Source organism: Homo sapiens, chromosome 12 (genome assembly GCF_000001405.40).
Source record: "Homo sapiens chromosome 12, GRCh38.p14 Primary Assembly".
Classification (NCBI taxonomy): Eukaryota; Metazoa; Chordata; class Mammalia; order Primates; family Hominidae; genus Homo; species Homo sapiens.
Window position 1 is genome coordinate 89,452,645 of NC_000012.12, and position 13,407 is coordinate 89,466,051.

Here is a 13,407-nt window from a genome sequence, read left to right on the forward strand (position 1 = left end):
ATTGGGACTTAGTGATTATTACTATTTTTATTAAAAAGCATATTTTATTTGAAGGGGGGGAAAAGAAGCCTCTGGCTTTCACTGTTAATCTTTTATTACGGTGATACTGTTAGTAAACTTTACAGCTATACAGATTATCTATCTTGAAAAAAAAATAAACCACGTTCCTTTAACAAACTAAAACACTTTAGCATTTTAGTTGTTTTATTTATTTTTTTACAATCCCAAATCAATTTTTTTTAAAAGGTCAGCCATCACATTCGCAACTGTTAGCAGTTTTTATAACATATGGGTCATGAAGTACTTCAAAAGCAAGGATCCAACTAATTTGCAAATAGTCTCTTTCCAGTCTCTAATATTTTCTCTCCTTTCTCTATTTTAAAGATTGTATCTGAAAAAATATTAATGTGTTTTCTGTTTCTAAATGGCAAGAGATCTTTGAAAATGTTGTGTTTTTCCTCATTTACTTGTTAGTTATCATGTATGTTCTGTTTTTTAAATGTCTTTGACAATTTAATTACGTCACTTAATTTCGAAGGGGAATGTTTTTAAATTGTTTCTCAAACCTTATAAAAATTCCTCTTTTACTCCAATTAAGCATCTTAGGGCTTAACATTTAACTTCTTGAGTTACCGAATAAAAAATTACTGTATCCACTTGACATTTACTATCATTTGCAGTTAAGATAAAAAGTCTCTTAACTCTTAAAGGAAGATAAATTGAGGGAGGCACCAGCTAGGGAGTCCAGAGACCTGGATCCTATAAATGCCTAAGTTCATTTCCTTTCATACCCTTAGAGCAGGGACAGGAGAAACATACCGCAGAGCCACTAAACCAGCACTTAAAGATACCATACAAATGTCTGTTTCCTAATGCTTAGGAAGCAGCCACAAAGTTATAGATAAATACACCTAGTTTCAGAAGTCATATGCCCTAAACTGACAAATCAAATGCCACCATATAAACTGCTGCAAAGTTTAAAAACTTTACATTGCGTATGACCATTTTACACTTTCAAAGTTGTAAGTTTTAGTTTTAAGACACTGAAGTTCACATACACTGTGTTCTTTTAGTCTTTCCAAATCTTTGCTTATATAAGCAGTTAGGAACTGAAATAACTCTGAACTAGTTACTCAATGTTGTCTAGTAACCAGGATGAACTGTTGCCACAACATTCATGGAAATATTCTCTCTGTGTCTGCAAGTTTATTCTTTGTGTGTCCATATATTTTGTCAGCACGTTAATATTTTTCAGATAGTATACACCATATGACAATCTCCATGAAAGTGTATAACCTTTTTCTTCCTAAAAATAGGCTGATGCAAAAAAACTTTCTGAAAGAGAATCCAATGCACTTTGCTAGAAAATAAAAATCTAAATGACATTTAGGAAGGGAGTGTGCTTCCCAAAGTCATGGAAATGGCAGAGTATCTCTTGCACTGATTCAGCCGATCACTTTTCTGATCCTAGAACAGAACACAGGAAAACCACGATTCTTTTTCTCTCATCAGCCCCTCTGCCAAAATGATGCAGAGCCAGGAGATATTCTCAGCTATCCTGAGATTACTCAAGGCTACATCTTACTGTCCCTGGGGAAGGGAGATAGGGAATCCCACAGCTGACATTCACTCTGTCAGGAAATCCTCTTGGCTCTGCCTTCAAAATACACCCAGAATCCGATCGCTTATCACCACCTCCTCTGCTACCTCCCTGGGTCAAGCCAGTATTGCCTCCCGTCTGAGTATTTCATTAGCTTCCTAATTAGTCTCTTTGTCCACCCCCATCAACATCCCCAGCCTGTCCTCTTACAGCAGGCAGAGTGAACCTGTTAAGACACAAGTCACGTCATGTCCCTCCTCTGCAGGAAACCCCCCAGTGGCTCCTATGTCACCTGCAATCTGGCCTTCCATCTATCACTGCTCCCACTCTCCTGGAGAGCCCTTCCCAGATAGCCATGACTTGCTCCCTTCACTCCTTCAGCTCTTTACTCAAATGCCACCCCTGTCACGTGACTCTTGTCCTGGCCATACTAGCTAAAATGGCAGCCCTCTACCTATCTTTTCCTCTCTGCCTTCAGTGCCTTTTTCACCTTTGCATTCCCTGTACTATATACAGTTTATTTTTTAGATCTGTGAATTGCCTCTCTCTGACTGGAATGTAGAATGTAGGCTTCTCTGGAGCAGGTATTTTTGTTTCTTCACATTCTCTAAAGCCAAGAATAGTAAGTTAATAAATACTTATTCAGAGACATGTATGTGTGAGTAGGCATCCTTCCTGGATCCCACCACATCTGCTGTCAGTTGACTTAGGCAACTTAAAGATTCTAAACTAGACTGATGCATTTTTATTACCATGGTTCATATGTGTTTGATTTCTTCTGAAGCAACTACTTATACCTCGCTTTCCCTCCAGGCACGGTGGCTCATGCCTATAATCTCAGCACTTTGAGAGGCCGAGGTGGGTGGATCACTTGAGGTCAGGAGTTCGAGACCAGCTTGGCCAACATGGTGAAACCCTGTCTGTACTAAAAAATACAAAAATTAGCTGGGCATGATGGCAGGAGCCTGTAATCCGAGCTACTCAGGAAGCTGAGGCAGGAGAATCACTTGAACCCAGGAACTGGAGGCTGCAGTGAGCCGAGACAGTGCCACTGCACTTCAGCCTGGGTGACAGAGTGAGAGACCTTGTCTCAAAAAAGAAAAGAAAAAAGAAAAAAAGAACTGGTCAAAGGTTTTCTTCTAGAGAAGTCCTCTAGCTTACTGCAGCCCATTAATGATTTCCTCTGAATACTGCCCAATAACAATCTTTCACTGACATTTATGTATACTTGACATCTAATGTTCTGAAACCAACACTGATTTCTTCTTCCTCAGTTACTTCTGTCTGGCTAGGTTGTTTGTTTCTTGAGGTCAGGCAGCCAGCTTGGTATCTCCCTCAGCATCTCATGTAATGCCTTCATGTAGGACATCTTCAACTATTTTGATTGATAGAATATCAAAAGACTGTAGACCCTTGGATTTTTTTCTATAACATAACTGCATGTTTATTGTAAATTAATTTGACTTGAAAGAAATAATATCCCTACTTCTAAAGAAAGGCATACACATATTCTGCATTATGTTCATATTATGCACAGTTGCCAGGATGAAGATGAGAACACAGTGTCAACTCTCTGAGAAGAGTCCAGTATTTTGATAATCAAAGGAACAACAGCAAGATTACCAACTTCATTTTGTTCATTTATAAGACAAACAATAAAACTAATACATCAGAATTTAAGAATTTTCCTAAAGATAAAAAAAGTAATAACCCTAGAGTCTTTTAAGATAAATTTTATTTACAGTTAGTTTAAAACTCTTTTTTGTTGTTGTTGTTGTTGTTGTTGTTGTTGTTGTTGTTGAGATGGATGGAGTCTCCCAGGCTGGAGTGCAGTAGCACAATCTCGGCTCACTGCAACCTCCACCTCCTGGGTTCAAGCAGTTCTCCTGCCTCAGCCTCCCAAGTAGCTGGAATTATAAGCGCACACCACCACGCCCGGCTAATTTTTGTAGTTTTAGTAGAGGAGGGGTTTTGTCACATTGGCCAGGCTAGTCCGGAACCCCTGACCTCAGGTGATCCACCCGCCTTGGCCTTCCAAAGTGCTAGGATTACAGGTGTGAGCCACTGTGCCCAACCAGTTTAAAACTCTTTATATTAGGATACAGGAAACAAATTCGTATCTTGTTTGTCTTTTTAGAAGAGAGGAGTGGGACATCCCGTGTAGCCACACCACATGTCAATGCTAATGATAAATGCCCTACCATAATTTTGATGATAGAATCCTGGTCTAGTTCTAACTACAACATGAAAACATTAAAAGACTCAAATGGAATCTTGAACTAAATAATCTTTAGAAAATTAGTATATAAGTGACAATATAAAAAGAATAAAGAGTAAGGAATTTGAGAACAATATTTTAAAACTATGTTTATATGGCCACCAGTATATTCCTTTACAGAAACTTTTTTTTTTAACAATAAAGCTTTAAAAATAGAGATTAGTAACAGCTTATTTTGATCCACAATATTGTATCAAATTTCCTGCTTGGCATTAGAGACACAAGTGCAAGCCACAAAGATACCACCTGTTAAAGACTGTATGCCACAATTTCTTCTCTGTAGTGAGAAGACATCAGAGCACAGATATCAGTACACTTCGATCTACAAATCTTCCTGAATATAATATTAAATCAAGTGAAAGTAGAAATAGAGGCCAACTATTTCTTACACCATAACAAACTTCTTTTATGCTACTAAGAAATTTTACAAATTAAGGTTTAAAGAGACATCTTTTTTATGTCCTACCTTGATGAAATGAATTTTTAAGGAAATGTCCAATCTACAAAAACCAAACAAATCAACCCTCAAAAGAAACAGTAACTACAATAACAATAACAAAAATTACCTTTAAACACTACTTTTTTTGGCTTCCAGTATTTCTCCAGGTTTTTAAATTACAATCACATGCAAAGTACACACAAAAATATTGAATGCAATTGTGCTTCATGCCAAAGCAGAAATAAATCCCCTTTACAATTATGTCTGATTTGTTGTGCAGAAGCAAAAGAGAAACTGTCAGTGTAGGGAGGAGACTATAATTAAGGCTTATTTACCACTATATTAATGGAAAGGTAAATAGTTGAAAAAGTAATTTTATTTTAGTTTTCTAACCAATTATCTATCATTGAACTAAAAGAAAGAGATACACATTGAAAATTTAAAGAAAAGCCCTTTGGAGATATTCTTTTAAAAAGTCTAACTACTTTATGAGAATCTATGTCTTCAGAATGCACTATTAAAATAAAGTCCTTATACCTTGCTTGGCAGCAAGCAGCTATGTCCCAGATTACAATCTACCTAGATGGGAGTTTATTAGCATAATCTCAAACCAATTTATAGCAAACAAGATTTTGTTTTCCTGTGTTTTGTTTGTTTGTTTGTTTGCTGGATTTTTATATACTAGTGGAGTCTTCCTTTTAATGCGTATATATTGGGTGAAACCATGTGAAGTCATTGATATTAGACTGTTTTTGCCTACAAAATGACAATTTCATATAATTCAACCTAATATTATCCTTTGTGGATAATAATTTTACTCTTCCATTTTATTATTCTGTTTTGTAGCACAGCTATTAAATGTCATGTGTTTGTTATACAGAACTGTCTTCTCAAAGTCCCACATACCCCATATATTCCTCGAGTTATGGTCCTGTATTATAGATGTATACTACAACAGACACATATGATCTACAATAGATATGTACAATCTATACTACAAGGGACATCCTGCTGTCCCTTGCTAAGAGGCAGTTATGCCCACCTCAATAGCACTGTCTGTCAAAACTGTCTGGATTCCTCACGTAATGAGGCTTTGCAAAACTTGAAGGGTACTGGGAGAGACAGTGAGTCTCAAAAGGTGGACCAAAGATTTTTAATGATCTATGATATTTTCTAGGCCAGAAATGTGCAATTTTAGTCTACTGACTACCTCACAAGGAGGCAGCACATCTCATAAACCTCCTGTTTGCTCCTTCTCGCTACAGGGGGAAAACCTAACTCATCAGATTTTGTAAATTTCTACAACATGCATTTGGAGTAATTCATTGAACATAAACGTACTGAACACCTACTATAAGCCAAGCACTGTGGCAAGTTGTAGACATCCCATTAATTTTTAATTTCTTAAATTATTAATGCAGCAATGCTGCTAGAGTTATAAACATGAATACTGTAAGAAACAAGAACACAGATCGATTTGAAGTCCTAGTGGTCACCAGTGATTCTTGGAATTCCCTTTAACCATCAGCTCATTGGTTACCCTCACTTCGTTTTTGTCACTGAAACTCCTAATGAGAGATCTAGGAGGCTTCTCTGCTATGGGATTAACACTGAAAGGACCCTTGAATAATTAGAATGGTTTCTGGTACAAGATAGACTCAAAATGGACTAGTCCTCTGTAGAATTCCTCTACAATAAATACTATTCTTGAGATCTATTAGAGAATTTGTAATGTCATAATGTCAGGGTTTTATTTTGGCTACAAATTAAAAATGTACCCAAAATATTTAACTAAACTGACATCATAGCAGTAGTGTCGTCAAAGACCACGCTGTTCTTCCCATTTGTTCTTACGATTAGTTTTGCACTGACTAGCAGGATCAACTGTGGCAGTGATTTGCCTTGGAAAGAATTAGCAGAATCCTAAATGGAAAGGCTAAAATTCTTAATCTTTGAAAATTTTGAAAACACTGAATAAATAAATTTTATATATGTAATTTCTATCAACAAAATTGTAAGTATTAGAAATACTTCTTAATTTATGGATAATCCATCAAAAGAGATTAACCAACGGCAGTGCTGTTTTTCTTACAGCTTCTAATGAGAAGACTAGAAGTAAGTTTAGCACCTCTGAAGGACAAATAACACAATAGGGAATCTGCTCTGCAACAGCATGTGAAATGTTACCTGGGTGGCATCTTAATACGTGAGACAGTGGGTATGGATTAGACTGAGCTCAGGGACCTCAAAGTAAAAGCTTTCCTGGGAAGGGGAACATCACACACCAGGGCCTGTTGTGGGGTGGGGTGGCAGGGGGAGGGATAGCATTAGGAGATATACCTAATGTTAAATGACGAGTTAATGGGTGCAGCACACCAACATGGCACATGTATACATATGTAACTAACCTGCACGTTGTGCACATGTACCCTAAAACTTAAAGTATAAAAAAAAAAAAAAAAAAAAGCTTTCCTGGAAATTGTTGCTGCTCCCCCCTTGTGGTAAACTATTTAGATGCATTGTAAATATGACTATAAAGTTTTTCCTATACTAAAATGTTAGGCTACATAGGCCACGTTTTATCTCCTCCCCCAACATTTTTTAAAGGAAAATGGATTATGCCAAATGATTAAATGCCACTTAAGTGTCAAAAAAAAAAAAAAAAACCCGACTTACTGTGGTAGAATCAAAAGAAAGGATATCCATAACAGGGGGAGTAGAGATCTGCAAATCGATTACCTCAAGCTTTGGATTAATCTGTGTATATACATAAAAAAAAATTATGAGATTTTCATACCATAAGAAACCAAATACTATTTGTAAAAACCTGGAGGGCATTTTCTAATATATTCTAAAATTAAAATATATTGGTATATTCATTACTATGGATAAAAAAAATTTTAAGCTAAATGTTAGCCTACCAATTCTATCAACGTATAAGAAAAGATCATTTTGGTAAGGTTGAATTCACCCCAGAAATAAAAGGTTTTCACTTTAGAAAATCAATGTAATTTACCTAAAAAGGAATATTAAAAATAAAATAAAATGACCCACCTCAAAAGATGAAGAAAAAAATCCTAGCCAGTTCAGTAAGAAAAGGAAATAAAAGGTATTAAGATAACAATTAGAAAGAAATAATATTCTCATTCATATATAATGTTATCTAGAATTTATTGCTAAATCATTAGAATAGTCAGAGTTTAAGTTAGTCCCAAAATCAATATATGAAATCAACTGCATTTCTGCATTCTAGCACACAGTTAGAAAATGCAAAATTTTAAAGGACACCATTTACAATATCAAAGAAGTTTAAAAATACATCAGAATAAACATACAAAAAAGAGTAAGACCTTATGGAAAAGAATAAAACTTATGTTAACATTAAAAAAGGCTCAAATAAGTAGAAACTGTATCATAAATAACTCAAAAACAGAGTGCTGTATATGGAAAATAAATATATTCAGAATATTCGTAATGAGAAAAGTGAAATTAAAGCAAAATACCACTTAATACCTATTAGACTGCAAAAACTAGAAAGCTCAATGACGCCAACACTGTTTGTAGCAGCATTGTTTGTAATGGCCAAAAAACTATTGGAAGTACCCTAAGTGTCTATCAACAGTTAAACAGGCTGTAAGAATTACTACAGTGACAAATTCACTGGAATGCAATACAGCAGTGAAAACAATTTATGAATGCATGAATTCAGAATTCATATGTATGAATCTCAGGACTTTAATGTTAAATTAAAAAGTAAGTTACGGAAAATATACATTCAATATAATTCCATTTACATAAAGTTCAAACTCATTCAAAATTAAACAATAATTATAGATTCAAATATATAAAGTTACAAAGAAAAGCAACAGAATGATTACCTAGAGTGGTGACTAACTTTGAGGGAGGCTATTTCAGAATTTGAAAAGACATAAAAATTAAAAATAAAATTGAAACATTATGAATACAAAGAAGTAAACAAAGAGCAACAAAGATAGCAGAGTTTTATATCAAATGAATGGTACCAATAAGTGTACTAACGAACCTTAAAGAAGAAACTATTGACTGAGCGCTTATCAGGAGTGTCCAATCTTTGGCTTTCCCTGGGCCACATTGGAAGAATTGTCTTGGGCCACACATAAAATACACTAACATTAATGATAGCTGATGAGCTAAAAAAAAAAAAATTGCAAAAATATCTCATAATGTTTTAAGACAGTTTACGAATTTGTGTTGGGCTGGATTCAAAGCCAGCATGTGACCTGTGGGCTGGACAAGCTTGGCTTAGACAGTGAGAAAGACTTCCTATGGAGGAAACACGGCATATGACGGCTCTTTAATAAAAGATCTAGAAAACAAAAACAGAGAGGGAGATGAGTAAAAGAGCATTCTTCATGGCATAGTGGAAGAATGCTGACATACTTTCACACAGGGTTAGAAAGAAGATTGTCAAGGGTCAAATTGTGAAGGGTGAAGGAATTTGGGAAGGCACAGAAAGTTGGAAGCTACAATGTGCTGAATTGAAAGAGTAATCTGACAGACACATAAAGTGTCATGAATACATTAGGGACGGCAGTGAGGACACTACAGCGTTAATCCAGGTCTGTAGTGATGAAGACTTGGCCAGTGATAAGAGGAGTGGAATAATTTTTAAAGCACTTACCATGCTTGATGGGTATGGCTGTAGTTTTAGAAACAGTAAAATCATTTTATAATTATCCAGCCAGTGTGTTAAAGGGGAGATATAACTGCAATGCTATAGTAAAGAAGGAATAAAGCTGTGCATGGTAAGGATGAGGGGCAATCAGCTCAGCTAGCCAAAACCGTTATCTCTTCCTGGCTGTCCCATAAAGCAGAAATCAAACACAGCCTCCTGCCATTAACTCTAAGTCCAGAGTTGAGGTAAAGAACAGAAATGTGAGAGTGACTTGTTTTCCTTTTAATCTTAAGACTCCCTGTCCAGAGACTGCTTGCATACGTTTTATTCTCTTTTATCTACTGCCACCTAGTGTAGACAGAAAATTATTTACCTAGAAAATACAATCTAGTTGCACCATCTGAAATTGAAACTGCTCAAGAAATCTAAATCACGTAGAGTCAGCACCTGTCATTAAAAAAAATCCTTGACCTACAAGTTGGGAAACAAGTCCTGATGTAATTAACAGTATTTAACTGCGTAAGTTGCTGCCACATAAGTTAAATAGAGCTGGAAGTTCTTACTAAGTAACATTTATAGTCCTCTCCATAAAGAAAATATGCTGAGGGGGTGATATGGTTAAATTCTTTGCTAGCTAACTCTCAGGAATACTAACAGTACCTTGTAGCTCCTGATATTTATTAAAGGGAAGAATATGTTAATAATTAGAGCTGCCTTGAAATGAAGTGGGCTGCCTATGAGAGGCCAAGTTCTCCATGGCTGAACAAGGGTATATAACTGGGACTAATGAATGAGGTAAAGGTTAGCCTGTATGACCTCAAAGGTACCATCCCACATCCCCCATTGAGGTTCTCTGTGTCCATGATACTGAGGAGTCCACGAACATAAAACCTCTACTAATAAATTCCATAAGCCTTCACTAGACTACAAGCTTCTAAAGAGCAAGGAGTATGCCCATCTTGTTCACTGCTGCATACTCTAAAGCTAGTACAACGTCCAGCACACAGATACTTTAATATCTGTTAACAGGATAAAATGTAATTTTGTTTATATTGAAGCATTACATCAAAGTGGTTAAAAACACAGAATGGAACCAGAGTGCCTGGGTTGAAATTCTACTGCTGCCACTTACTAACTTTAAGATTTAACTAACATAGACCTCAATTTCTCATGGGATAATAGTGGTACTTATTTCACCGAGATTTTAGGAATATTAACTTAATTTGTATAAAACACTTAGAACAGTCTTGTATAACTGTTAGACTTTATCATCATGTAATGAACATTTACTGAGGCCTGAAACAGTATAAACATATACCCCAGTTAGAAGTAGAATACAAAATGGATAGACAAGTGGTCATTTTAAAAAATCATAAATGGTGATGTTTTCAACCTTATTAGAAGATTGAGATAAAAACCCAATCTCAGACTTAAAAACTTAAATTGATCACTTGTACTTTTCAACAATGAATCATGGTCAGACTATCACAAAATATTATTATATAAATATTTGGTTAAGGTAAAGGACATTTTCCTTCCTGCTAAATATCATACAGAATTTCATATGCAATTTATATGTTAAGGTAATCTAAAATGGCCATAAAAAACTGAAAGCCATCAGAACATTATTTTATTAAAAAAATCTTTTTAACCAATTATAATCCCTGCTTACAATATTCTGCAATTCTCCTAGAATAACTATTTTGATGCTTTACTGTCATTAAGAGCTATCGCCATCGCTTAGAGTGGCTCTACTGTCTTCTCATCAAAATGTGTAAGAAAGAAGGGAACTGCTGCTCCGGAGAAAAATATCACACACACACACACACTGAAGGAAAGTCTGGTTTTGTCTAGGGGCAGGACAATGCAATCCAACTCATGACAGTCTGAAGAAGATAAAGTCAGCATGAACTAGTGATGTGCTATAGCACAACATGGGTAGGGTCAAGATACCTTGTGTAAAAACTGGGCTTCTTTCCCATCAAAAAAAAGAGAGAGAGGTACTGTTCTCATGTTTTTAATTAAGATGGAGTGCCTAGGCCAGGAGTACTACGAAGGATCTGTAGTTAGATAAGTAGGAAGAACCCGGGAGGGGGCTATTTCACATAGAGAGAATTTGATATTTCATGCCTTCTTTCATGTGGCCTCCTTCTCTCATTTATTTTAAAAGTAATATGGCTATCACCCCCTCTATCCATGTAGGAATTAGTAATTTATACATTTAGTCAGCTGGTACCCAAGATCTAAGACTCTGCAGGATTCCCCACCTTCAAACAAGTGAAGCGCTTAAGGCTAGCAAAGGGGTGGCTTTTGCAAAAGGCCAAACTATTTTACTCAGCAGATTGAGATTATGCAATTCAGATGAGTCTCATAGAAAACATAATACAAATCATAAAAATGTTATCTCGTTTCAAACTCAGAAATAAAACACTCATGGTCACTGCAAACAGAGAAAGAAAAATTCATCAGTTCACTTAGATACCATTTATTCTACATATTTTAATAAGATGTTTATTTTCCTTAAATCCTAATACTGACCTCAAAAAAAGATTTCTTAGTTTTAAAATATTTCCCAAGTAACTGCATGTAAATTTGCCTAAAGCTTTGAAAAAAACTTAATCTACTGAATTTAGTATTTCAAAGTAAAGTTTACTAATCATAAATGAACACAGCACAACTTCTATTCTGACTATTCCATTCTGTGTGAAAGTTTTGAACTAAGTAGTCTTTGGCTTAGTGAGGGATCCATATTTATTAATTTGAAGTAGAGTCTTTAAAACACAATTTGGTACTTAACAATTATTTATTCATAATACTAAAGTTGTTCCCTGTCTAGAAAATTTCATAACCTTGACTTTTTTATAAGAGTTTTTTTTTTTTTTTTTTTTTTGAGACGGAGTCTTGCCCTGTTGCCCAGGCTGGAGTGCACTGACATGATCTCGGCTCACTACAACCTCCGCCTCCCAGGTTCAAGCGATTCTACTGCCTCAGCCTCCTGAGTAGCTGGGATTATAGGCACGCGCCACCACACCCAGCAAATTTTTGTATTTTTAGTAGAGACGGGATTTCACCATGTTGGTCAGGCTAGTCTCGAACTCCTGACATCATTAGCCGCCCACCTCGGCCTTCCAAAGTGCTGGGATTACAAACATGAGCCACCGCACCTGGCCCAAGAGATTTTTTCAGGAAAAAAAAAAAAAAAAGAAACAATTACAACAATTGGTTGTTCATATACAGAATCCTATCACTCTTCTGGCATTTTATATCACAGGGCCTCAAAGTGTTTTACAAAAGCAAGTCATGTTTTATACTTAATTTAAGCAGCCATGCATGTTTACAGATAATTTAAACTGTGTACACAGAGGCTGACTACCTTAAGGTCACAAAAAAAAAATTCAGTCACAAGGCTCAGCATTTTGTAGAGTGCAATTGAACTCTAATTCCACGATGAAGAAAAGTCAGTGTTTAATAGAATTTTTAGGGGTATACGTGAAAAATTTGTTTGAGAGTGGCTTTGCATGGCCTGGGTCAGCCTGACCCAGCAACACAAAGCAGCCCAGCTGGTTTAATGGCTTTTTGGCTATACCATAAGAGCAGAGCCACTCAGGCAACTCCTTGACATTTTAAAGAAAGCCTAGCACTCTGAAATGAACTAGGGCTGACAGTAAATCAGAGAAAAAATGGCTTGAGTCTCTGTGCTGAGGTGAGTGTGGAGTCATGGAAATAGCACCTAATTCACGAGGAAAGCAGTCTCGGGATCAGCCTGCAGTTCTGCCACCCAACACCCTGGAAAGTGGCCAAATGGATATTTCCCTCCTGATCAATCTTGGCCAAACCACAAGATGACAGAATAAAAATACCAAGAGTTAATAAAACCAACTTGGATAATACAAGAAAAAAATACTCAAGTTAAATTAAAATATATTTCACATGTATTTTATATGAATTTATATAATCACAGGGATAAGAAATATAACTAGAAACAGAAGCAAAAAATGGGAAAACCAAATTAGATTACTTTTTTCTTTTAAATAAAAGAAAAATGATAATACAATAAGTAGTACAAAGAAGTGGTAACATGATTAATACTTTAGAAGAACTGAAAAGATTGTCAGAAGTTGGAAAAGACAAAGATTATAGCCAAGAACTGAAAGTCAACACTACCAGGGAAAAGCAAAGGCAGAAATCCCAAGATATGGCTGGATTAAACAAAATCTAGAAAATAGTTTAAAAAACAAAGAACAAAAACATATACTTAGATGCACAACTGGAGACTAGCAGAAGTGCCTGAGATAACAGCAAAGACCAAGACTAAGGAAAACAAAATGAAAGAAGTGATGTGGCTGAGGGTACATGCACAGCATGAACAGTGAATGCGGCTACCGTGCATTGCTGCTCAGGAATACATCTCAAGAACTCAAAATACCTAACTCTAA

At 35.9% G+C, this 13,407-nt stretch overlaps 2 protein-coding genes across 13 annotated transcripts in view; both read right to left on the bottom strand.

Moving 5' to 3' along the window:
• The window catches only part of POC1B-DUSP6 (POC1B-DUSP6 readthrough), a 177,983-nt gene that overhangs the window by 104,580 nt on the left and 59,996 nt on the right, over positions 1-13,407 (bottom strand). For 2 of the 6 annotated variants that reach the window (NR_189587.1, NM_001425794.1), the window contains exon 10: positions 6,994-7,074. The exons of the other annotated variants lie outside the window; for them this stretch is intronic. Coding sequence is in view for 1 of the 2 variants with exons in the window: in NM_001425794.1 (NP_001412723.1) it covers positions 6,994-7,074 (81 nt within the window). In the remaining variant the exon portion in view is untranslated. The remainder of the gene's footprint in view (positions 1-6,993; positions 7,075-13,407) is intronic. 6 annotated transcript variants of the gene reach the window in all.
• Positions 1-13,407, bottom strand: part of POC1B (POC1 centriolar protein B) — a 124,581-nt gene that overhangs the window by 51,178 nt on the left and 59,996 nt on the right. For 5 of the 7 annotated variants that reach the window (NR_037660.2, NM_001425772.1, NM_001425771.1 and 2 more), the window contains one exon: positions 6,994-7,074. The exons of 1 other annotated variant lie outside the window; for it this stretch is intronic. Coding sequence is in view for 4 of the 6 variants with exons in the window: in NM_001425772.1 (NP_001412701.1) it covers positions 6,994-7,074 (81 nt within the window). In the remaining 2 variants the exon portion in view is untranslated. Of the gene's footprint in view, positions 1-6,993; positions 7,075-7,371; positions 7,395-13,407 lie in introns of all 7 variants that reach the window. One more of the 7 variants, NR_037659.2, reaches the window with a different exon arrangement.